Genomic DNA, 23,740 nt, shown 5'->3' on the forward strand with positions numbered 1-23,740 from the left:
TAATGGTCATGATGACTGAGAGGCACTACTGGCATTTAATGAACCAGTGATTTTAAATGTCCTGTAATGTGCCATAGAAGAGTCCTGCACAATGGAGAATTTTCCTGATATATCACGAAGACCATCCCTATCGCATAATATGATATTAGGCATCTGTAACACCTTAACTCAGAGCCTCTAGTCTCCAAAACTGCGGATCTATTTACCTAGAATGACCAAATTAACTCTCTTTGTTGGAAAATCATGGTTTCCTCCTCATTTTTTAATTAAGAGGAAAGACTATAATTCAACTATAGTTTGTCCAATTGAAAGGGATGAAAGAGATTTCTTAAGTGATAAGCATATCTGATGGACAGAGAATAATAGAAGAAAAATTCTCCTTAAACACCGGTAAGTCCCTGTGGAATTCTGTGACACAAGGGGACATCAAGTGACTGGATTTGGAAAAGAGGTAGTGGAGGAAAGGAAACAAAGACATCAACCAAAGTAGGTATCATATGTCCTTTCTTCCCTTCTTGATTTTCTCTGCCAATAGTTATTCTGTGACCACTATCTGCAGGCATTGTGTGAGGCACTGTGAAACAAAGATGAGCAGTAAGTGACATAGTTCCTACTCTCATGGTGTATGTATCCTATTGAGGGAGACTAAGAATAAAATCACACAAATTTTAAGCAGATGGATGAGGACCATTGATTCATCCATGGTTGCCAGTCACATTACCCCTAGATACAAGCAGCACCAAGTAATTATTTCTCATACCATATAATTCCTGAGTTTCATTATCAACAAGTTAGTTAGACCAGTTACAAAACTTTTACAGACTCATTTTTTCCTAAGCATGCAAATCAAATGTACATTGCTTTGGATAGCATTGTAGATTCTTAAGTGGTTGGGGCAAAACCTTGTAGATTTTTCAGAACAGTAAGGGCACTTGAACATGACTCGTTGCAGCTCAGTATGAGTCACCAGGGAGGAGTAACCCTATTTCCAAATACAGTCTGAACGACCCTCTCCCACAATAGGCCACAGAGCTGTGAACCACACAGGTGGTCTTGAGATTCCTTGTGGGGCTTTTAAGAGCACTCCTTGTCATTAATTCCGCAAGTGCTTAGAGAATGCAAATTCTAGCCCTTGTTCCATGTAAAAGCCCAAGAATATAAAGATGAGCAACAAACAGCCCCTTCCTTCAGGGGGCTCAGGCTGGAGAAGAAAGTATAATCATACAATATGATAAGTGCATAGGCACGTGATGTCCAGGTCTCATGGAACCCCAGAGGAAGGGATTAGTTACTCTTGCATCATGTTCTGAGATAACTATCTGGTTCCTAAGGAGAATGACTGGAGATGGAGAGCTTCATTTTCAGCCTTTGCTGATATACACGTTTCACGTGATTTGCTTTGGATAGCTATCTCTACACCAAAAGGTCTGGCTTTTTGTTGAGTCTGGATTCTCCAGAAGGTTTCTTGTCCAAGCCTGAGGATGAAGTGCTATTTTAATAGTAAGATTTAACTCAATTCACTCAATGAGGAGTCTGGAGAGTTCTGTGCACATACATGAAGATGACGGTGACCTCTCTCCATAACTTATGAACACTGCCTCCACTCCCAGAATCCTCCACCCCAGCTAACACACACTCATCCATTGCTCAGTGTAGCTGCTGCTACACAAAAGTGAGAAGGGGAGTAAGAACACAGTCCACTCCCTCCACCCTTGAGTTTGCCCAGAAACAACTTAGTGTGTATATCCAGGCAACCAGTACTCAATCTACCAGTTCTCTTGAGGTCAAACTAAAGAACGCTTACTGTCTCCCAAGCCTAGAGAGGCTGCTTTGTTTACTTTTCAGGATTAGTCTCTATCTGGAAGCAGTATGAAGTCATAGCAAAGGCATCCTTTGGTTGTAGGAGGAAAAATCTGAAGAGCTACAGGTTCCACTGGGGATAGAGCAGGAAGAATCCAAAAGACTAAGCTCCATTCCCAGAAATCATATATCTAAGTGGTGAAAACAAGAAACAGTAAGAGATCTGACTTTTTTTTTTTTTTTGAGACAGAGTCTCGCTCTGTCGCCCAGGCTGGAGTGCAGTGGCGCAATCTCGGCTCACTGCAAGCTCCACCTCCCAGGTTCATGCCATTCTTCTGCCTCAGCCTCCCAAGTAGCTGAGACTACAAGCACCCACCACCAGGCCCGGCTAATTTTTTTTTTGTATTTTTAGTAGAGACGGGGTTTCACTGTGTTAGCCAGGATGATCTCCATCTCCTGACCTCGTGATCCGCCCGCCTCAGCCTTCCAAAGTGCTGGGATTACAGGCGTGAGCCACCGCACCCGGCGGAGATCTGACTTTTCTTTAGAGACTCAGGCTTTGTTCCTCACTTCTCCCACTGTCAGCTCCTTGTTTAAATATCTGACAGTTGCTGCTTGGGGAGGCAAATGTAGGTTGGTTCCACCTGGAAGAAGAGCCACATAAGGCAGCAGTGGGCATCACTCAGGCAAAGTGCAGTATTTCACTACCACCCCATGCTGAAACAGCTCATCTGTTTCTGCCAAAATTTTCCAAAATAATTTCCTCTGAAGCTGAAAATGCCTCTGTCTTATTTCAGCCCATTTATCCCAACTGTTACGAAAGGCGTCAAGCAGGGGAGTTAGAATAATGTAAGTGTTTTCTTTAAAAAATTAATACTTTTTCTTTATCCATTCTATCATTGATGGGCATTTGGGTGGGTTCCAAGTCTTTGCTATTGTGAACAGTGCCGCAATAAACATACATGTGCATGTGTCTTTATAGCAGCATGATTTATGACCCTTTGGGTATATACCCAGAAATGGGATTGCTGGGTCAAATGGTATTTCTGGTTCTTGATCCTTGAGGAATCACCACACTGTCTTCCACAATGGTTGAACTAATTTACACTCACCAACACTGTAAAAAATGTTCCTATTTCTCCACATCCTCTCCAGGATCTGTTGTTTTCTGACTTTTTAATGATTGCCATTCTAACTGGCATGAGATGGTATCTCATTACACATGGACACAGGGAGGGGAACATCACACAACAGGACCTGTTGGGGGCTGGGGGGCTGGGGAGCTGTGGCGCTGTGGGGGGATAGCACTAGGAGAAATACCTAATGTAGGTGAGTTGACGGGTGTAGCAAACCACCATGGCACGTTTATATCTATGTAACAAACCTGCAAGTTCTGCACATGTATCCCAGAATGTAAAGTATAATAAAAAAATTTAATACAGCATGTCATCCCAAAGGATTTAGTGACATTAACACACAATATACATGAAGACTATCATGAGGAAGATATTTATATATAAAGTACACCCCCACAAACTTCTGAACAGAGAATTATGCAGCTTTTAACAAAGGGTACCTACAAAATAAGGCAGCTGAAGCAGGGAATCGAAAGGTGGTGATAATGTATCTTGGAAAGTAGGGCTCCAGGTGGCATTATTAGAAATCAAGAATGCAACATTCAGTGTTGAATGATTTCCTTTCTGTCCTGGCTTCCTCCCGGTCCGCCTTTCTGTATGATATCCTGGCTCTTATCTTCTTGCTCAATGTCAGCGCAGCCACTGCTGGTTGGTGAAAGTCATCCCCAGCTCTCATGGAGCAGCACAGAAAAACTGACCCAGCAGAAATGAGATGTGTGGGGAAAAGGACAACTTCCCCCTAATCAGGGAGGTATAAGGTTAGTATTAATGGTGTTAGTATTATGACTTAGGGGGGCTTAAGAAAGGTATATGTTAAGAACTCACTCTATACTCTGGTGGAGCTAATATTACCATGGTCAGAGACCTGGAGCAATAAAGCAGAAGCTCACCCTGCTGTCATCCCAGGGGATAGAAATTCAGTGTGGCCCCTCCTCATGCTCAGATCAAAGACTTGGGAACTTTATCCCAGAGTTTCTGCCCTCTAAACTCCATCCAGCCACCCCTGTCCATCCCATGGCCTCTCAGACACTCATGAAGTAGACTGTTCCAAGAACCTCCCACCTTGACCCCTTTAATCTCATCTCCACATCTCCATCAGTGGTCTTCGACAAAATCAAATCTAATCTCGTCATTCTGTTGCTAAAACTTACTTAATGACTTTCTATCACTAGATAGAAAATAATGACTTTCTATCTAGAGATGGTAAAATCTAAACTCATTCGTTTGGCATCCAAGGACTCTGACAACTCACATAGTCTACTTTTCATCATTATCCCCACATTCCAATATCATAGCCCTTTTCCCATCCCAGCAAACTTCATGCTGCAAGCACTCCAAACTACTCACCCTTGCCCAGAGAAGATCTGTGCTTCTGCGCTTTTATATACACCAGTGCCTTCCCCTAAGACACTCTTTTGCACCATCTGCATCTAGAATTCTTTTTCAAATGTCAGTTTGTCTGAAATCCTTGGGCAGAAATTTTAATTCCCTTTGTAGTTGACTAATTCTTTGTGCATGCCTGTCTTCTTTACACAATGAATAGGGAATTTAGAGCATTCCTCATATCCCAGTACTGTACTAGATGCTGAGAACACAATAATGACTAGAAAAATAAGAATCCCAGCTCCCACTCTCATGGAGCCTACATGGAAGATGCACAGGTCTTGAGTGTAAGCATTATTAAAAGTACTACAGTGGACAGGCACATGGGATTTGAGAAAAAGTAGTAGGTGTAACTGACTTAGGGAGGTCAGCAAAGGCTTTTCTAAATTAGAGATTTTTAAGTTGAGATCTGATGAGAAAACTAGGCAAAAGGGGACAGGAGTTCTATTCTGGGGTCTTTACACCCATTTTATTCCTTGGACTATGTGTTATTCTTCAGCAACAGACATACAATAATTCAGAGTAAGCATTTAGAAGTTTCAAAAGTAATTTGACAGAGTAATTTTATATCTCTTGAATCTAATAAAAAGTAAGGCTTATATTTTGTGTGTCTTTTACTCATTTTATTTTTTTAGTATTTCACTTTTATCGTACTTATAAAAGTATCAGTCTGTGATAGATTAGACATTTAAAAAACCAGCTGGTCTTTTATTTATTTTGAGACAGAGTTTCACTCTGTCGCCCAGGCTAGAGAGCAGTGGCGCGTTCTTGCCTCACTGCAACTTCCTCCTCCCAGGTTCAAGAAATTCTCCTGCCTCAGCCTCCTGAGTAGTTGGGATTACAGGCACACACCACCTCGCCCAGCTAATTTTTTGTATTTTTAGTAGAGATGGGGTTTTGCCATGTTGGTCAGGCTGGTCTCGAACTCCTGACTTCAGATGATCCACACGCCTTGGCCTCCCAAAATGCTGGGATTACAGGCATGAGCCACCACGCCTGGCCTTACAAATGGTCTTTTATCACAGATAGTCTGAGAAGCAATGGCCCAGTCACGAAGAAAACGTGTAAAGAGCTTGCATTGGGACAAACCACAGTTGTGCCAGAAGGAGACATAGTGGAAATGAGCTAAGGCAGGCATGTGGATTCTGAGAATAGTTGCTTACAGATAACGACCAAGGTGGTGATTATTTTTGTAACCAAGTAGGGAGACAGGATGGAAACTGACCAGAAAAGAAGATGAACAAGGACCCAGCACTGACGACCATCAGTATGTAATGGCCTTTAGAGTAAGATGAGCCTCTAAGAGCAAAAAAAGGAGTAGAAGCCAGAGGTTGGGTGACAAGAGGAAGTGTTGAGCCTGAGAAGCCAAAAGAAGAAAGGGTGTCAAGGGGGTGGAGTGGCCTGCAGTGATGCATGAAAGCATGGAGACAAGCTGATTGCAAGTGTCACCTGGATAAAAAGACATAGAGGTCTTTGCTTTGGTACAAGCAATTTGGTGGAGAGGTGGTGGCAATGTGAAAGAGTTAATGAGTGAGGAAGTTGAGAAAAAGAAGACAATAGCAGTAAAAAGAGATGTGTTCGCTGGAGGTGGGTGTGTGTGGACGCAAGAGTTTTTTGGTGATGATCATTGTATTTTTATTTTAATGAGAGAAATATGAACATTTTAAGAAAATACAATAACCCCTGTTGAGAAGGAAAGGTTGAATACAGAAGACAGAGAAAAATACAATAGTTTTTTTTATGAGAAAGTGAGTGGGGTTGTTATCCGAAGTACAAATACATAAGATGGGCTTAATCCCCAATAGTTTTCTTGAAACAATGGACTATAAAATCTAAGCCAGCTAAGGAGGAAGGAAAGAAAGGAGAGATGGATGGGAAGACTAGATGCGTCAAAAGACTGAGATTGTTGTGAGTCTAAAGAACAGTCACTGTGAAAAAGGATGAAGGAGTTAGCTAAGAGGAGAGGGCATTACAGTCAAAGAGGCAAATCTTTGGTTTAATGATTTTTGTTTAAAGAAAATATATACCACTTTATCTTTCTTTTTTTTTAGATATTCTATATTTCTTCAATCTTCATTTTGAAGACCTTCATTTCTTCAAGACTAGAGAGAGGAATCTCTCTGAATTCTTTCTTACTTTCTAGAAGGATTCCCAGTCTAAGCTATGTCAGTCTTTTCCTTTGCTTCTATTCCTTTGTTGACATAGTCGTAAGTGTGGCGTGGTTCACTTGCTCTTATTTGCTATGTCTGTGCATAGATGCTGTGCTGCTTCCCTCTGGATAGCTTCCTCCAGCCAGCTACTGCTCAAGAAGAGGGAGAGGAAGAGTGAGGAGGATGACCTGGGGCCATTCCAGCTTCAGTTTGAGTTTGTTTCCAACACTCAGCTAAACTGGATGTGTCTTGTATCACAAGCCACACACCACCTCAGTGTTCAGACTTTGTGGTGTCAGGAAGACTCACACTGAAGCCCTTTAAGGCCCAGAAACTCTGTCAATCAATGCTGCTGCGCCTTCTCACCCTGCTCACCTAACGCAATCCCCTTGCCTAGAAGGCCAGCCATAAACAATTCTACCTACCCCGCCTTGTTGTAATGTGGAATGAAGCATCTCTGGGGACACTTCTCTTTGGACTCCTAGATCTCATCCATCTAATCAAAGCATCATTAGATGGGCCTTTAAGAATTATGACACTTATGGCTGGGCGTGGTGGCTCACGCCTGTGATCCCAGCACTTTGCAAGCCAAGGCGGATGGATCACAAGGTCAAGACATTGAGACCATCCTGGCCAATATGGTGAACTCCGTCTCTACTAAAAATACAAAAATTAGCTGGGCGTGGTGGTGCACGCCTGTAGTCCCAGCTACTCAGGAGGCTGAGGCAGGAGAATCGCTTGAACCCGGGAGGCAGAGGTTGCAGTGAGCCCAGATGGTGCCTCTGCACTCCAGCCTGGTGACAGAGCCAGATTCCATCTCCAAAAAAAAAGAATTATGACACTTTCTGAGCAGGGATCATAAACCAGCAATCCACAGATATAATCCATCTGGCAGACATTATTTTGTTTGGCCCACACAGTTTTTGAAAGATAGCAACACTTCATATAAAAATCCACCTTTTGAGTCCAGACGCGATGGTTCACACCTGTAATCCCAGCACTTTGGGAGGCCAAGGAGGGCGGATCACCTGAGGTTAGGAGTTTGAGACCAGCCTGACCAACGTGGAGAAACCCCGTCTCTACTAAAAATGCAAAATTAGCCGGATGTGGTGGCACGTGCCTGTAATCCCAGCCACTCAGGAGGTGGAGGCAGGAAAATTGCTTGAACCTGGGAGGCAGAGGTTGCAGTGAGCCAAGATTGCGCCATTGCACTCCAGCCTGGGCAATAAGAGCGAAACTCTGTCTCAAAAAAAAAAAAAAAAAACCGTTTCAACTTCTTTTTAAAAAATCAGATGATCTGGCAATCCTCAGTGGCAATTTTTCTGCATGGCAAAAATTACCTGGATGTGAGCTATGGCTGTCCTCTTTAGATGGGCTTACCATTTACTTGCCACTCCCTATTCCAAATTGCCTTAAATTCTGGCCCTGTGAGCATGTCCTGGTCACCCGGCCCCAGTGTTAGAGGAGCTATGTAGTATTGCCCTGCTAACCTTTCCCTGAGTTCATGTTTCACTCTGTTTGAGAGATAATTTTTACAGTTTTTGTTTTGGGTTTGTGACTGTGCTTTTCACTTTACTTTTCTATTGAGGTGGATTTTTTCTCTATTTTTTGTTATTTTAATTTTTAGGGTTAGCTTTTTTTTTTCTTTTTTTTTTTTTGAGACAGAGCCTTGCTCTGTCACCCAGGCTGGAATGAAGTGGCGCCATCTTGGCTCACTGCAACCTTCACCTTAGGGTCATCTTTTCTATTTGTTATTCCTCTTATTTAGGGTATTTAAAGGGAGAGTAATAAAATATAGTATATATAATAACAATTACATATATTATAATATATAATTCCTTATAAAAGCCTGAAGTCTTTATCTTTTTGCTATTTTCTATTTCAAAGAAAGAATTATCAAAACAGATAGCAAGATGTTTGCATATCAAAAATAATGAAATTGTTGATAAAGTGCTATAAGCCCTCCAAATAATGTTAGCATAATATCACAAACAAGAAATAAGTAGTGGTCTATGTATTAACAGAAGAATCAAGTAACAGACCAAAAGGAACTTTCAGCAAACTTTTCGTTCATTTTTCTTCGATTTCCATGGAAATCTAGATATGCAAAGAAAATGTAAATAGATTCCTTTCAGAAAACATTTAAACATAGCATCAAAGGTGAAGGAATTTATAGAGAGTTCACTCTGAGCTGCAGATAATCCATGGATAGACTTCAAGATGTATGACAATCCCCTGAGCATTTGTAATGCTATGCAAGTGGATTTAAACATTTTGGGTGGGATAGAATCTGTATTTTCTCAGAGTTCAACTCTATCCCTTTCCCCTAGCATCAGGGTGCAAGTCCCCTCAGTAGTGGCCCTGCCTCCATTCTGTCTCCTTTACAGACTCTTTGTTAAATAGAATCAGCTAATGTTCATCCATTCAAAACCTTCCAATGGCTTCCCATTGCACTTAGAATCAAATGCAAACCCCTATCATTACCTTCAAGGTCCTAAAGAGGCAACCACTGCCCTCTCTCCTTTTTCTGAGTCTTCTCCCATTTTCGCTCCCTTCCTCACTATGCACCATCTGCACTAACCTCTCCTTTCTGTTCCTGAACAAGCCTTGTTTGCTCTGGCCCTAAGGCCTTCTCACTTGTTGTTTGTAATGCCTCTCCCCCAGCTCTTCGCAGGCTGGCTCCTCCTGTCATTTGGCTCTCAGCTCAAGTGTCACTGTGCCACAGAAGCCTTCCCTGTTCACCTGATATAAAGTGCCCTCTGCACTATCCAGTGCAGTATTCTTTCTTATGTTTTTCATGTCACTCATTACCATCTGATACCTTCTTGCTCATTTACTTGTCTGTCTCTCTCTAGCAATATTGTTTCCTTGAAAACAGAGACCATGTGTTTCATTTTCACTATCATATCCCCAGCTCACTGACTGAAGGACTGAATTTTATAGGTGACTTAGGTGGGACTTAGAGAAAATGTTCCATGCAAAGTCCCAAACTACCTTGTCAGAGGCAGATATTATCATGTAATCCACACCTCCTGAAATCACTTCGGAAACTTCTTCATAATCCTTTAGTTCAGTAAAAGAGAAATTCAACTAAGAATAGTTAGACTGTAATGGAAAGGTAAAGATAGATACTGTGGGCCAAATTTAATGTTGTTGATCTTAATGAGATTTTTATTGTGTAAGACCGTACCACATCATAATATATGTTCATATTTGGCAATGACGTCTTTTCAAAGCAAAAGCACTTGGATTTTAAAGGCTGCCCACTGATTGAATTAAATTTAATAAGAATTATTTAGGAGTAGTCTAATCAACAGATAGTCATTCAATTTTAGTACATTTACCATTATAACTGAATGCAGTATTTGTTAGCAGCATTTGTAGAAGCAGTATTTTTAATTAAAGAAATGGCATGCAGTCCTGTTATTTAGCATCCACATGGTTCTTCAATTACTTAAGTAAATTCATGATATAGCAATATGAATGCTATTAAAGTTAAATATATATGATTTATTTGACTTCCTAAGAAGTTAAATTGCTAGAGTTCAGATTTCCTTTCTCAGACTCCAACAAATAACCAATTAACTGCCAGGGTTGCTAATTGAGAAAATTACTCCTGAATGACTCCAAGGCCAGATGAACCCCTGTGAGCTGCTGATATGAATCTTCCCTTAGACAAAAACTCAGAGCAGTCTTCAAAGCTGAGAACTATGGTGTGGTAACTCACACAAGTGTACAGGGGGAAAAACAACCAAATAAAGTAAATGTTTGAAATAAACATCCTCTCCAAATCCTTTACATCAGATTAATCCTCTCTTTTCCGGGTAATCCCAGCCTTGCCGATGCTTCTGTAACAGAATCCCTTTCAGATTAGGTACTACATTATTTGGTTTACACTTCACATCTTCTCCACAACTGAAATGAAAACTCTGTGAACATCGAATCCAATATCCTGTATTATTTCATAATGAAAAAGTCTAGGCATAATAGTGAGCACTTACTATGTTGCTAATTCTGGCAATTTATTGTCTTGGTTCCTAACCATTATTGCATAGGCCACATCTCATATGAAGATAAAATTTCAATGCAAATGCTTTTGACAGACTTGCCAAAGCTTGATTAATGATTGCTTACTCATAGTATTCAGGTAAAATGTTAAAAAATGCTAGTTTATGAACTATGTTTATAACAACTATCATTCTTATAATAATGATTCTTATACTCCTTTACTGCCATGGAATTGGAATTTAAACTCTTCTGCTTGCCATGATGTTAGTTAACATATCATATATAAGTACAAGAAAGCCTGGGAAGTCACATAAGAAAAGCCTAAAAGAAATCTCTTCTGCAAATTATAAGTCAGCCAGCAGGATTCCCCAGCCAGAAAGCAAGAACGGAAGTATATTTTATATATATCTCAGAACCTGAGAGTCTGTTCTTTTTCTTCTTTTACTCTCTAGTCAAATTCAACATTTCAAAGCAGTTGGGTATAACAAAGAGAATCCAGAAGAATTGCGTATCCACTTCCCTACCTCTTTCTTCAGCGAGTCCAGTGTGGAGGAGAGTGAAATGAGAATTTCTTTATTCGTTTAAAAAAAAAAAAAGTCTTTCAGAGCTCCTAGCAGGTGCAGTTAACTGTGGCTGGTACCTGCTGCTGGTTGATCACTTTCCCTGCAGCACAAGAGAGGGGGGAGAAGGGGATACCTGATCAGATAGTTTTCCTCTGACTTCTGAAGTATCTGTCCTGGGAAGGCAGAGGTTCAAGGTCACACCATTTGAGGCAACCCAGGAAGAGGCTGTCTCAGCAGGTTTCTTGTAAAGTATAGAGATAATATTACCAAAAGACACAAAATCCCCCAGGAGCAAAGTTAACCTGAAGGAGCAGTTCAAGTATTTTGCTTTGGGTTGGATTTAATGTATGGAAGTGTTCAGGCCACATTTTGAACTGAAGAGTTTTGAAAGGCCCGGTTGCTTCCCTCCCCCAACACATCTCCTTAGACAATAAACTTAAATTGTCTATGCTATAGTTACCTTTTGTTTGATATGTTACTTCCTAGGAAGTCCATGTTAACATACAACTGCAACCCAGATGTTAGATGAGAATCCTCTCCATTCCAGCTCTCCTTAAGCCTGGCTGGGACTGGCTTTAATGCGGCTGGAAGAAAGGTAATAATTTATTAAAGATTTCTGCTAATACTCAAAGTGTTTGGGGGTCCTTTTGGGCTCATCTGCTCCATGGTGACTGGCTGAACCTCCTCCCCTCTACCTTTGGCTTTTGTATGACTCTCGACCTTGTAAAGTTTTACTCTCACGCCCATACACAATCCATTCACCAAGCACTTTGGGGGTTCAGCCAACTTTCATGTGAAGATTTGGGTGACATCATAGAGCACAGAGCCTTCTGTTAGATTCTCTCCAATCCTGTTCTTTCCTCCCACCACCTTCACTTCTTTCTGTCTCTTTCAGAACAAAAAAAGTGGTTTCTCTTTGCTTAGTCATAGCTATCTTCTGAGCATTCCATGTTTCAGCACGCCCTAGTGGATATATTCCTTTTCTCCAAGCAGGTTATCAAAATATTTCTCCTGAAGTCAGACCTTTCTCTAGCAGGAATTCTGTTCAATATTTTGTTCACCTCTTCAGTTTTGTACCCCAATGTGATAAAGGTAACCATTAATACTGATACACTGGTTGATAAAAATCAGTAAAGAGAGTTTAAGGGAATGGGAATGTGAACTTTCATGAAAGATACAGACAAGTGAAGCCACCAACCCAGAGCCTCAGAAAGATAGAATAAGATACTGAGAACACTGGTGGGAAGCCAAATCTCACCTGCTTCTCAGATTTACCACTGGATGATCCAAACCATGATTCTTGAACTTTCTACATGACATCATTTCTGCATCCTGGCTTTTTAGAAGAGAAAACTCTAACATGCAATAGCAAGCCAATACATCTAAAATCATCTAAATATGAAAAGCCAATACATCTGAAGTCATCCTTATCATCCTACATGAAACAATAGGAGAGTTTTTTTTTATTTTTTTTCTAATTTTTTTCCAGTTTTCTAATGAAGATTAGGGCAAGCTGCAAAGCCATTTACAACCTATCCCCTATTCCAGCTTTGAGCCACAAATGTTATAGTGCTTCATGACCAGCAGCCCTGTGCTAATATTGGTCCCCCAAACACTGTGCTGCCTCAGGTCTTCCTGCTTTCTCTGGGATGCTGCTCTGCCTGGACTGTCCTTTCCTACTGCCCAGACCCCAAAACTCAAATCAATTGTCTCCTTTCCTGAAAAGGCTTTTCTGGCCCAACCTCCTTCTGTAATGCTTATGGCTCCTTTAACTACCTACATAAGTTTTTTTCTAGCTTTGCACTTTCGAATTATGGTATGGTAATTCTTTGCTCACATGTCTGCTCCTGTGCTACAGGGTGATGTTTTTGAAAGTACAGGTAGCATCTTACTCATCGCCACATGCCCAATTCCTAACACAGGTTCATTCACAGAAAGTGTCTGATAAATGTTAACTGAATATATTTCTCCCATCTTCATAAACTGTTTAAGGAAGAACAGCATTTTCAATCTTTTGCAGCTCCCCACCCACCCAGTTATAATATTTGCAAATCACTTTTAAATTATGATAGTGTTATACAAGATGTATGAGAGTTAAAGCCACACTCCAGGGACACACAGTTGCCCTAATCACAAATGCACACTCCTACAAGGACAGCTACCTTTAATCTGAGAGGCCCTGTTCTAGAGGAAGAACAAGTCATGCAGCTTTCCATTCATAGTTTGGTCAACAGCAGAGGTTTTCCTAATTAGCATAAACAATCTCAAAATTACACTTATATAGTGGAAAGGAATGATATTAGGACTTGTGGATTGGGTATGTATTTTTGAGATACTCCTTAATTGTGAAAAATAGACTATAAGAATCTAGTGTCTCTCTAACCTATATCCTTAGGAATGGAGAATACCCAAACTTTGATTCCAAAATTGTTTGGTGTGCAGCCACTGGTATTGAAAAAAAAATCTGTTTCCTAAAAATTAACTACAAGAGAAATAGATTGCTGTCTCTAGAATATTATGACTTCTTCATCTGGTGAAACTTTTATAGTGGTGGTCAAATACCTTACAGGACAGAGACTTTGAACATTATCAAGTATATAAAATATTGTTCGGAATATTTTGTCTGCTTGCGTGTAAATGCTTATTGAATAAGTGTTTATATGTAATATAATTTGATCTGACATTTTTCTTCTTTCTAAGCTGGTAGCCAAGTTGTTGGTAAATAACTAGCCCTTACTCACCTCAAATTTGTCTTCATTGGGAGACTATCAAACTTCTGGGAGACTATCATTATCTGCCAAAAATAATATATTTTTATTTCGTTGCACGTGCTTTAGATGCCATATATAAGAAGTCACTGTCTAACCCTAGATTATGAAGATTTATACCTATGTTTTATTCTAAGAGTTTTAGAGTTTTACCTCTTATATTTAGGTAGTTAATTTCTATGTATGGTGTCCAACTTCATTCTTTTGCATGTGAATATTGAAGTTGTCTCAACACTAGTTGTTGAAAAGATTTTTTTCAAATATCCTGGCACTTTGTCAAAAATCAGTTAACTATAACAAGTGTGAAGATTCATTTCTGGACTCTCAATTCTATTCCTCTATCTGTATGTCTGCCCTTGTGCCTATACCACACTGTCTTGATTACTATAGCTTTGTAGTACGTTTTGAAATCAGGAAGTATGAGTCCTCCAACTTTGTCATTTTCAAGACTGTTTTGGTGGAGGAGCCAAGATGGCCAAACAGGGACAGCTCCGGTCTACAGCTCCCAGCGTGAGCGACGCAGAAGACGGGTGATTTTTGCATTTCCCTCTGAGGTACTGGGTTCATCTCACTAGGGAGTGCCAGACAGTGGGTGCAGGTCAGTGTTGCGTGCACCGTGCGCGAGCCAAAGCAGGGCGAGGCATTGCCTCACTTGGGAAGCACAAGGGGTCAGGGAGTTCCCTTTCCTAGTCAAAGAAAAGGGTGACAGATGGCACGTGGAAAATCCGGTCACTCCCACTCGAATACTGAGCTTTTCTGACAGGCTTAAAAAATGCCATACCAGGAGATTATATCCCGCACCTGGCTCGGAGGGTCCTACGCCCACGGAGTCTTGCTGATTGCTAGCACAGCAGTCTGAGATCAAACTGCAAGGCAGCAGCCAGGCTGGGGGAGGGGTGCCCACCATTGCCCAGGCTTGCTTAGGTAAACAAAGCAGTGGGGAAGCTCCAACTCGGTGGAGCCCACCACAGCTCAAGGAGGCCTGCCTGCCTCTGTAGGCTCCACCTCTGGGGGCAGGGCACAGACAAACAAAAAGACAGCAGTAACCTCTGCAGACTTAAATGTCCCTGTCTGACAGCTTTGAAGAGAGCAGTGGTTCTCCCAGCACGCAGCTGGAGATCTGAGAACCAGCAGACTGCCTCCTCAAGTGGGTCCCTGACCCCTGACCCCTGAGCAGCCTAACTGGGAGGCACCCCCCAGCAGGGGCAGACTGACACCTCACACGGCCGGGTGTTCCAACAGACCTGGAGCTGAGGGTCCTGTCTGTTAGAACGAAAACTAACAAACAGAAAGGACATCCACACCAAAAACCCATCTGTACGTCACCATCATCAAAGACCAAAAGTAGATAAAACCACAAAGATGGGGAAAAAACAGAGCAGAAAAACTGGAAACTCTAAAAGTAAGAGGGCCTCTCCTCCTCCAAAGGAACGCAGTTCCTCACCAGCAACAGAACAAAGCTGGATGGAGAATGACTTTGACGAGCTGAGAGAAGGCTTCAGATGATCAAATTACTCCGAGCTACTGGAGGAAATTCAAAGCAAAGTCAAAGAAGTTGAAAACTTTGAAAAAAGTTTAGAAGAATGTATAACTAGAATAACCAATACAGAGAAGTGCTTAAAGGAGCTGATGGAGCTGAAAACCAAGGCTTGAGAACTATGTGAGAAATGCAGAAGCCTCAGGAGCTGATGCGATCAACTGGAAGAAAGGCTATCAGTGATAGAAGATGAAGTGAATGAAATGAAGTGAGAAGGGAAGTTTAGAGAAAAAAGAATAAAAAGAAACAAGCAAAGCCTCCAAGAAATATGGGACTATGTGAAAAGACCAAATCTACGTCTGATTGGCGTACCTGAAAGTGACGGGGAGAATGGAACCAAGTTGGAAAACACTCTGCAGGATATCATCCAGGAGAACTTCCCCAATCTAGCAAGACAGGCCAACATTCAGATTCAGGAAATACAGAGAACGCCACAAAGATACTCCTCGAGAAGAGCAACTCCAAGACACATAATTGTCAGATTCACCAAAGTTGAAATGAAGGAAAAAATGTTAAGGGCAGCCAGAGAGAAAGGTTGGGTTACCCTCAAAGGGAAGCCCATCAGACTAACAGCAGATCTCTTGGCAGAAACTGTACAAGCCAGAAGAGAGTGGGGGCCAATATTCAACATTCTTAAAGAAAAGAATTTTCAACCCAGAATTTCATATCCAGCCAAACTAAGCTTCATAAGTGAAGAAGAAATGAAATACTTTACAGACAAGCAAATGCTGAGAGATTTTGTCACCACCAGGCCTGCCCTAAAACAGCTCCTAAAGGAAGCACTAAACATGGAAAGGAACAACCAGTACCAGCCGCTGCAAAATCATGCCAAAATGTAAAGACCATCGAGAAAAGGAAGAAACTGCATCAACTAACGAGCAAAATAACCAGCTAACATCATAATGACAGGATCAAATTCACACATAACAATATTAACTTTAAATGTAAATGGACTAAATGCTCCAATTAAAAGACACAGACTGGCAAATTGGATAAAGAGTCAAGACCCATCAGTGTGCTGTATTCAGGAAACCTATCTCATGGGCAGAGACACACATAGGCTCCAAATAAAAGGATGGAGGAAGATCTACCAAGCCAATGGAAAACAAAAAAAGGCAGGGGTTGCAATCCTAGTCTCTGATAAAACAGACTTTAAACCAACAAAGATCAAAAGAGACAAAGAAGGCCATTACATAATGGTAAAGGGATCAATTCAACAAGAAGAGCTAACTATCCTAAATATATATGCACCCAATACAGGAGCACCCAGATTCATAAAGCAAGTCCTGAGCGACCTACAAAGAGACTTAGACTCCCACACAATAATAATGGGAGACTTTAACGCCCCACTGTCAAAATTAGACAGATCAACGAGACAGAAAGTCAACAAGGATACCCAGGAATTGAACTCAGCTCTGCACCAAGCAGACCTAATAGACATCTACAGAACTCTCCACCCCAAATCAACAGAATATACATTTTTTTTCAGCACCACACCATACCTATTCCAAAATTGACCACACACTTGGAAGTAAAGCTCTCCTCAGCAAATGTAAAAGAACAGAAATTATAACAAACTATCTCTCAGACCACAGTGCAATCAAACTAGAACTCAGGATTAAGAAACTCACTCAAAACCGCTCAACTACATGGAAACTGAACAACCTGCTCCTGAATGACTACTGGGTACATAACGAAATGAAGGCAGAAATAAAGATGTTCTTTGAAACCAACAAGAACAAAGACACAACATACCAAAATCCCTGGGATGGATTCAAAGCAGTGTGTAGAGGGAAATTTATAGCACTAAATTCCCACAAGAGAAAGCAGGAAAGATTCAAAATTGACACCCTAACATCACAATTAAAAGAACTAGAAAAGCAAGAGCAAACACATTCAAAAGCTAGCAGAAGGCAAGAAATAACTAAAATCAGAGCAGAACTGAAGGAAATAGAGATACAAAAAACCCTTCAGAAAATTAATGAATCCAGGTGCTGGTTTTTTCAAACGATCAAGAAAATTGATAGACCGCTACAAAGACTAATAAAGAAAAAAACAGAGAAGAATCAAATAGATGCAATAAAAAATGATAAAGGGGATATCACCACCAATCCCACAGAAATACAAACTACCGTCAGAGAATACTACAAACACCTCTACGCAAATAAACTAGAAAATCTAGAAGAAATGGATAAATTCCTTGACACATACACTCTCCCAAGACTAAACTAGGAAGAAGTTGAATCTCTTAATAGACCAATAACAGGATCTGAAATTGTGGCAATAATCAATAGCTTACCAACCAAAAAGAGTCCAGGACCAGATAGATTCACGGCCAAATTCTACTAGAGGTACAAGGAGGAACTGGTACCATTCCTTCTGAAACTATTCCAATCACTAGAAAAAGAAGGAATCCTCCCTAACTCATTTTATGAGGCCAGCATCATCCTGATACCAAAGCCAGGCAGAGACACAACCAAAAAAGAGAATTTTAGACCAATATCCTTGATGAACATTGATGCAAAAATCCTCAATAAAATACTGGCAAACCGAATCCAGCAGCACATCAAAAAGCTTATCCACCATGATCAAGTGGGCTTCATCCCTGGGATGCAAGGCTGGTTCAATATACGCAAATCAATAAATGTAATCCAGCATATAAACAGAACCAAAGACAAAAACCACATGATTATCTCAATAGATGCAGAAAAGTCCTTTGACAAAATTCAACAACTCTTCATGCTAAAAATGCTCAATAAATTAGGTATTGATGGGATGTATCTCAAAATAATAAGAGCTATCTATGACAAACCCACAGCCAATATCATACTGAATGGGCAAAAACTGGAAGCATTCCCTTTGAAAACTGGCACAAGACAGGAATGCCCTCTCTCACCACTCCTATTCAACATAGTGTTGTAAGTTCTGGCCAGGGCAATTAGGCAGGAGAAGGAAATAAAGGGTATTCAATTAGGAAAAGAGGAAGTCAAATTGTCCCTGTTTGCAGACGACATGATTGTATACCTAGAAAACCCCATTGTCTCAGCCCAAAATCTCCTTAAGCTGATAAGCAACTTCAGCAAAGTCTCAGGATACAAAATCAATGTACAAAAATCACAAGCATTCTTATACACCAATAACAGACAAACAGAGAGCCAAATCATGAGGTAACTCCCATTCATAATTGCTTCAAAGAGAATAAAATACCTAGGAATCCAACTTACAAGGTATGTGAAGGACCTCTTCAAGGAGAACTACAAACCACTGCTCAAGGAAATAAAAGAGGATACAAACAAATGGAAGAACAGTCCATGCTCATGGGTAGGAAGAATCAATATCGTGAAAATGGCCATACTGCCCAAGGTAATTTACAGATTCAATGCCATCCCCATCAAGCTACCAATGACTTTCTTCACAGAATTGGAAAAAACTACTTTAAAGTTCATATGGAACCAAAAAAGAGCCCGCATCGCCAAGTCAATCCTAAGCCAAAAGAACAAAGCTGGAGGCATCACACTACCTGACTTCAAACTATACTACAAGGCTACAGTAACCAAAACAGCATGGTACTGGTACCAAAACAGAGATATAGATCAATGGAACAGAACAGAGCCCTCAGAAATAACACCGCATATCTACAACTATCTGATCTTTCACAAACCTGAGAAAAACAAGCAATGGGGAAAGGATTCCCTATTTAAGAAATGGTGCTGGGAAAACTGGCTAGCCATATGTAGAAAGCTGAAACTGGATCCCTTCCTTACACCTTATGCAAAAATCAATTCAAGATGGATTAAAGACTTAAAGGTTAGACCTAAAACCATAAAAACCCTAGAAGAAAACCTAGGCATTACCATTCAGGACATAGGCATGGGCAAGGACATCATGTCTAAAACACCAAAAGCAATGCAAACAAAAGCCAAAATTGACAAATGGGATCTAATTAAACTAAGGAGCTTCTGCACAGCAAAAGAAACTACTATCAGAGTGAACAGGCAACCTACAAAACAGGAGAAAATTTTCGCAACCTACTCATCTGACAAAGGGCTAATATCCAGAATCTACAATGAACTCCAACAAATTTACAAGAAAAAAACAAACAACCCCATCAACAAGTGGGCAAAGGACATGAACAGACACTTTTCAAAAGAAGACATTTATACAGCCAAAAGACACATGAAAAAATGCTCACAATCACTGGCCATCAGAGAAATGCAAATCAAAACCACAATGAGATACCATCTCACACCAGTTAGAATGGCAATCATTAAAAAGTCAGGAAGCAACAGGTGCTGGAGAGGATGTGGAGAAATAGGAACACTTTTACACTGTTGGTGGGACTGTAAACTAGTTCAACCATTGTGGAAGTTAGTGTGGCCATTCCTCAGGGATCTAGAACTAGAAATACCATTTGACCCAGCCATCCCATTACTGGGTATATACCCAAAGGACTATAAATCATGCTGCTATAAAGACACATGCACACGTATGTTTATTGCAGCATTATTCACAATAGCAAAGACTTGGAACCAACCCAAATGTCCAACAATGATAGACTGGATTAAGAAAATGTGGCACATATACACCATGGAATACCATGCAGCCATAAAAAATGATGAGTTCACTTCCTTTGTAGGGACATGGATGAAATTGGAAATCATCGTTCTCAGTAAACTATCGCAAGAACAAAAAACCAAACACCGCATATTCTCACTCATAGGTGGGAATTGAACAATGAGAACACACGGACACAGGAAGGGGAACATCACACTCTGGGGACTGTTGCGGGGTTGGGGGAGGGGGGAGGGATAGCATTGGGAGATATACCTAATGCTAGATGACGAGTTAGTGGGTGCAGCGCACCAGAATGGCACATGTATACATATGTAACTAACCTTCACATTGTGCACATGTGCCCTAAAACTTAAAGAATAATAGTAATAATAAATTTTCAAAAAAAGATTGTTTTGGCTATCCTGGGTCCTTTGAATTTCTATGTGAATTTTAGGTTCAGCATGTCAATTTCTGAATAAAGGCCAAACTGGGATTTTGGTAAGGATGGCACTGAGGCTGTAGATAAATCAATTCAAGGAGTATTGACATGTTAACATTAAGTCTTCCAACCCATGAATGAAAGTCTTCCAACCCATATTTTTCCATTTGTTTAGTTGTTCTTTAATTTCTTTCAACAATTTTTTTTTGTATTTCAGAGTATAAGTTTTACATTTCTTGTGTTAAATTTACTTCTGTGTATTTAATTCTTTTTGATGCTATTTGCAAATTGAACATTGTTAATTTTGAGTTATTCATTGCTAGTGTCTAGAAATACAATTGTTATTTGTATATTGATCTTGTACTCTGCGAATGTACTGAGCTTTTTTATTGGTTCTAATAATTTTTAGTAGTTTCCTTAGGATTTTTTATATGTAAATTCATGTCATCTGCAAATAGATATAGTTTATTTTTTCAAATACGGATGACTTTAATTTCATTTTCTTGCCTAATTGGTTTGGTGAGAACCTCTAGTGCATCTTGCTCTTTTCTTGACATTTTAAATCCTGTATCAGTGGTCAGTCTATCCCCCCTTCAATCTACCTGCTTTGGATACTCTTAGCCAGATTGACACTTGGGAATTATGAAAACAACTGACTTAAAAGTTGGGGAATCAGCTACTGGGCAATAGTGTTAGAGGATATTGTTCTATGCCTGTGTTGTCCTTCTCAGACTCACTGGATTTTTAATCTTCTCATCTATAGAATTGGAGGATCCAGCTAGATAGTCTCTAATGTGGCAAATGAGTGGATGACCTCAGTCTAGCTTGGTAGGGAGCCCTGTAGTGTGCTCACAAGGGCAGCTAGAGAAGGCTGTAGGAAGAGAATGTTCTAGGGCTTCTACTTGTTGAGGATACTGGTATGGCCTCTACTGTGTTCATTCTGTGGTGCTCAGCACACTTAACATATTTAATAGTTGTTAATATTCATAACAACTCTCCTATAAATGACACCTGGAGGAGGATGAAGATCAGGGAAATTAGGATGTCGCCCCAAGAATGCACTGATTTTAATCAATTATTTAGGGAGTAACTTCATCTCATATACCTCTTATGCTTACATAAAACAAAAAAATCTTTGACTCGTTGGACTCACTTGAAAACTTCTGTTGTGATTTGTTCAAGCCAAGTAACTTTTGATTAATGAGAAGGCTGGGTTACCTAGGACCTTTTTAGGTTAAGCCTTAGGCTGTGATTGGCATTTTATTTCTTGCAGTTTTTGCTCATCTGCATATGTAGAAGGGACTGTGGGAGTTTGTGCAGGGAATACAGCAATGTGGTCTATGTAATTACTATGAGTACTACTTAGTGACTTGGTGGCAACCGACGAAGTAATCCGGAAGTTCTGAATTTTCATTTCCTTTTAAAATCATATCGTTGATTTCATCTGGATCCCGTTTCAATTTATCCTATTTGTTAAGCTTCTATCCCATGGTTCAAATACGTGTTTCAATGACCTTAAAAAATTTGATCAATCGTAACTTTTAGATTATTTTTGGCATATAATGGTAACTTCTCAGAAGGCTGAGGTGTGTGAAAGTTAGCTATTTCCCAATAACTTTACTATCAGGTTGTAAAAAAATTATAGGACTAAATCTTCTAATCTTGGGTGAGTTAAGCCTTCTTAGATATAAAACCAAAAGCACAAGCAAAAACAAGGAAAAAGATAAATAATGCTTCATCAAATTAGAAATGTTTGTGCTTCAGAAGATACCATTAAGAAAGTAAAAAGACAGAATAGGAGAAAATGTTTGGAAATCATGTATCTGACAGGGGACTTGTATCTAGAATATACAAAGAACCCTCACAACTCAATAATAAAAAGACAAATAATCTAGATTTTTTTAATGCAGCAATGATCTGAACAGACATTTCTCCAAAGAAAATATATGAATGGCCAATAAGCATATGAAAAGATGCTGACATCATTAGCCATCAGGGAACTGCAAAGCAATATGCAATGAAATACCACTTCACACCCACTAGGAGCCAGTAACAGGGTTGAGAAAATTATTTAGAAGGAATTACACCTGATAGAGGTAGCTTCTTTATCCAAAGTGAAGCATTGAGAATTCTCTGGCCATTGTTTCTTAGAATATTACATGTTTTAAAGTCCTTAGATGCAACAGAAATTTTTCTACTTGAGCGTTTTTGAAAACATTCTTAAATCAACAAGTGTTACATTATGTGTAAAGGGATTTTAAAATTATATAAATGTTCACTGTCAATCACATTTCTTCCTAATAATGAAAGTAAAATATACAGTGCTAACTGATCACCCCTTTACTTTGGATGGATTTCCTCTCTCTGATAGCCGTCGATGCAGCCGCTGCTTGTTATCTCAGTGTGATACTTGCTGTCACTTTACGGCCTTGTTGACATAGCTGGTCCCTCTCAGAACTTGGTTTGCAGTCAGGATAAACTGACAGTAGGTGCATCGGTGGATCTTTAATTGTCACATCCTGAAGGTCTAACATCTAGGTTTCCTGTCATATTATCTAAAGGCAGGGAATATGTTGTATTTTCTTCTAAATTATAACTGATTTTCTATAAAATGTAAAGATCCATATGAACATGATTTAAATAAATATAAACTCATGGGATATTTAGGATGGCTTTCTGCTAATTTTCAACTACAAATATTTACTGCAAAGTATACTCCCAAATTTCAAAACCAGAACTGAACTACATGTGACATTCTACATACCTAAACTATTATGCTTTTCATTATGTATCCTTTACTGGATAATACCCATGGTTCATTTATGACTTGACCTCTGACAATTCAGACTTACAAGATAGTTTGTATCAAAAGTTGGTACACTTTTTCATTCTGACAACGGCTGTAATTATGCAATGGCTTTATTAAGATGTTAGCTGTTAACATACACACAGATAGCCTTTTATATTTGGCCTTTCTTGCTTTCCTACTATATTTATTTTATTCACCTTGCACCTAGATTTTCCCTCATCTCATCATTTAAAAGCAATACATAAGCCATGCCTCACCTGTATTTTTTCTAGAACATATTTTCCTAACTATTGTTTTCTTGCTAATAATTTCCTCATACCTTGTTTCTAAATTTTTAAAAATTATTTTCACCTTGATCTGCAAGGTCTTTCATCCCCACATCACTCCTATTGGTCTGTGCCTTACATCTATTTATAATTGAGCCTTTTTCGCTATATAGTAACTCTTAACATTAGACTTAATCACTTTTATGTTGAGGCTAAATATTACAAATAAATGTAAGCTTTACTAAAATATACATTTTGAAAATACATTTAGCCTAAATATGATAAAGTTTTAAGAAAAACTACAAGCTATAGGAGACCATGTTCTTA

General features: G+C 39.8%; 1 long non-coding RNA gene across 1 annotated transcript in view; it reads right to left on the minus strand.

Annotated features, from left to right (window-relative positions):
* The window catches only part of LOC101927078 (uncharacterized), a 325,996-nt gene that overhangs the window by 209,190 nt on the left and 93,066 nt on the right, over positions 1 to 23,740 (minus strand). Inside the window, exons 2-3 of the long non-coding RNA NR_130785.1 lie at positions 11,501 to 11,624; positions 11,002 to 11,140 (exon numbers count right to left, since the gene is read on the minus strand). This is a non-coding gene — a long non-coding RNA (uncharacterized LOC101927078). The remainder of the gene's footprint in view (positions 1 to 11,001; positions 11,141 to 11,500; positions 11,625 to 23,740) is intronic.

The sequence above is a fragment of the Homo sapiens genome, chromosome 5, assembly GCF_000001405.40.
Source record: "Homo sapiens chromosome 5, GRCh38.p14 Primary Assembly".
Classification (NCBI taxonomy): Eukaryota; Metazoa; Chordata; class Mammalia; order Primates; family Hominidae; genus Homo; species Homo sapiens.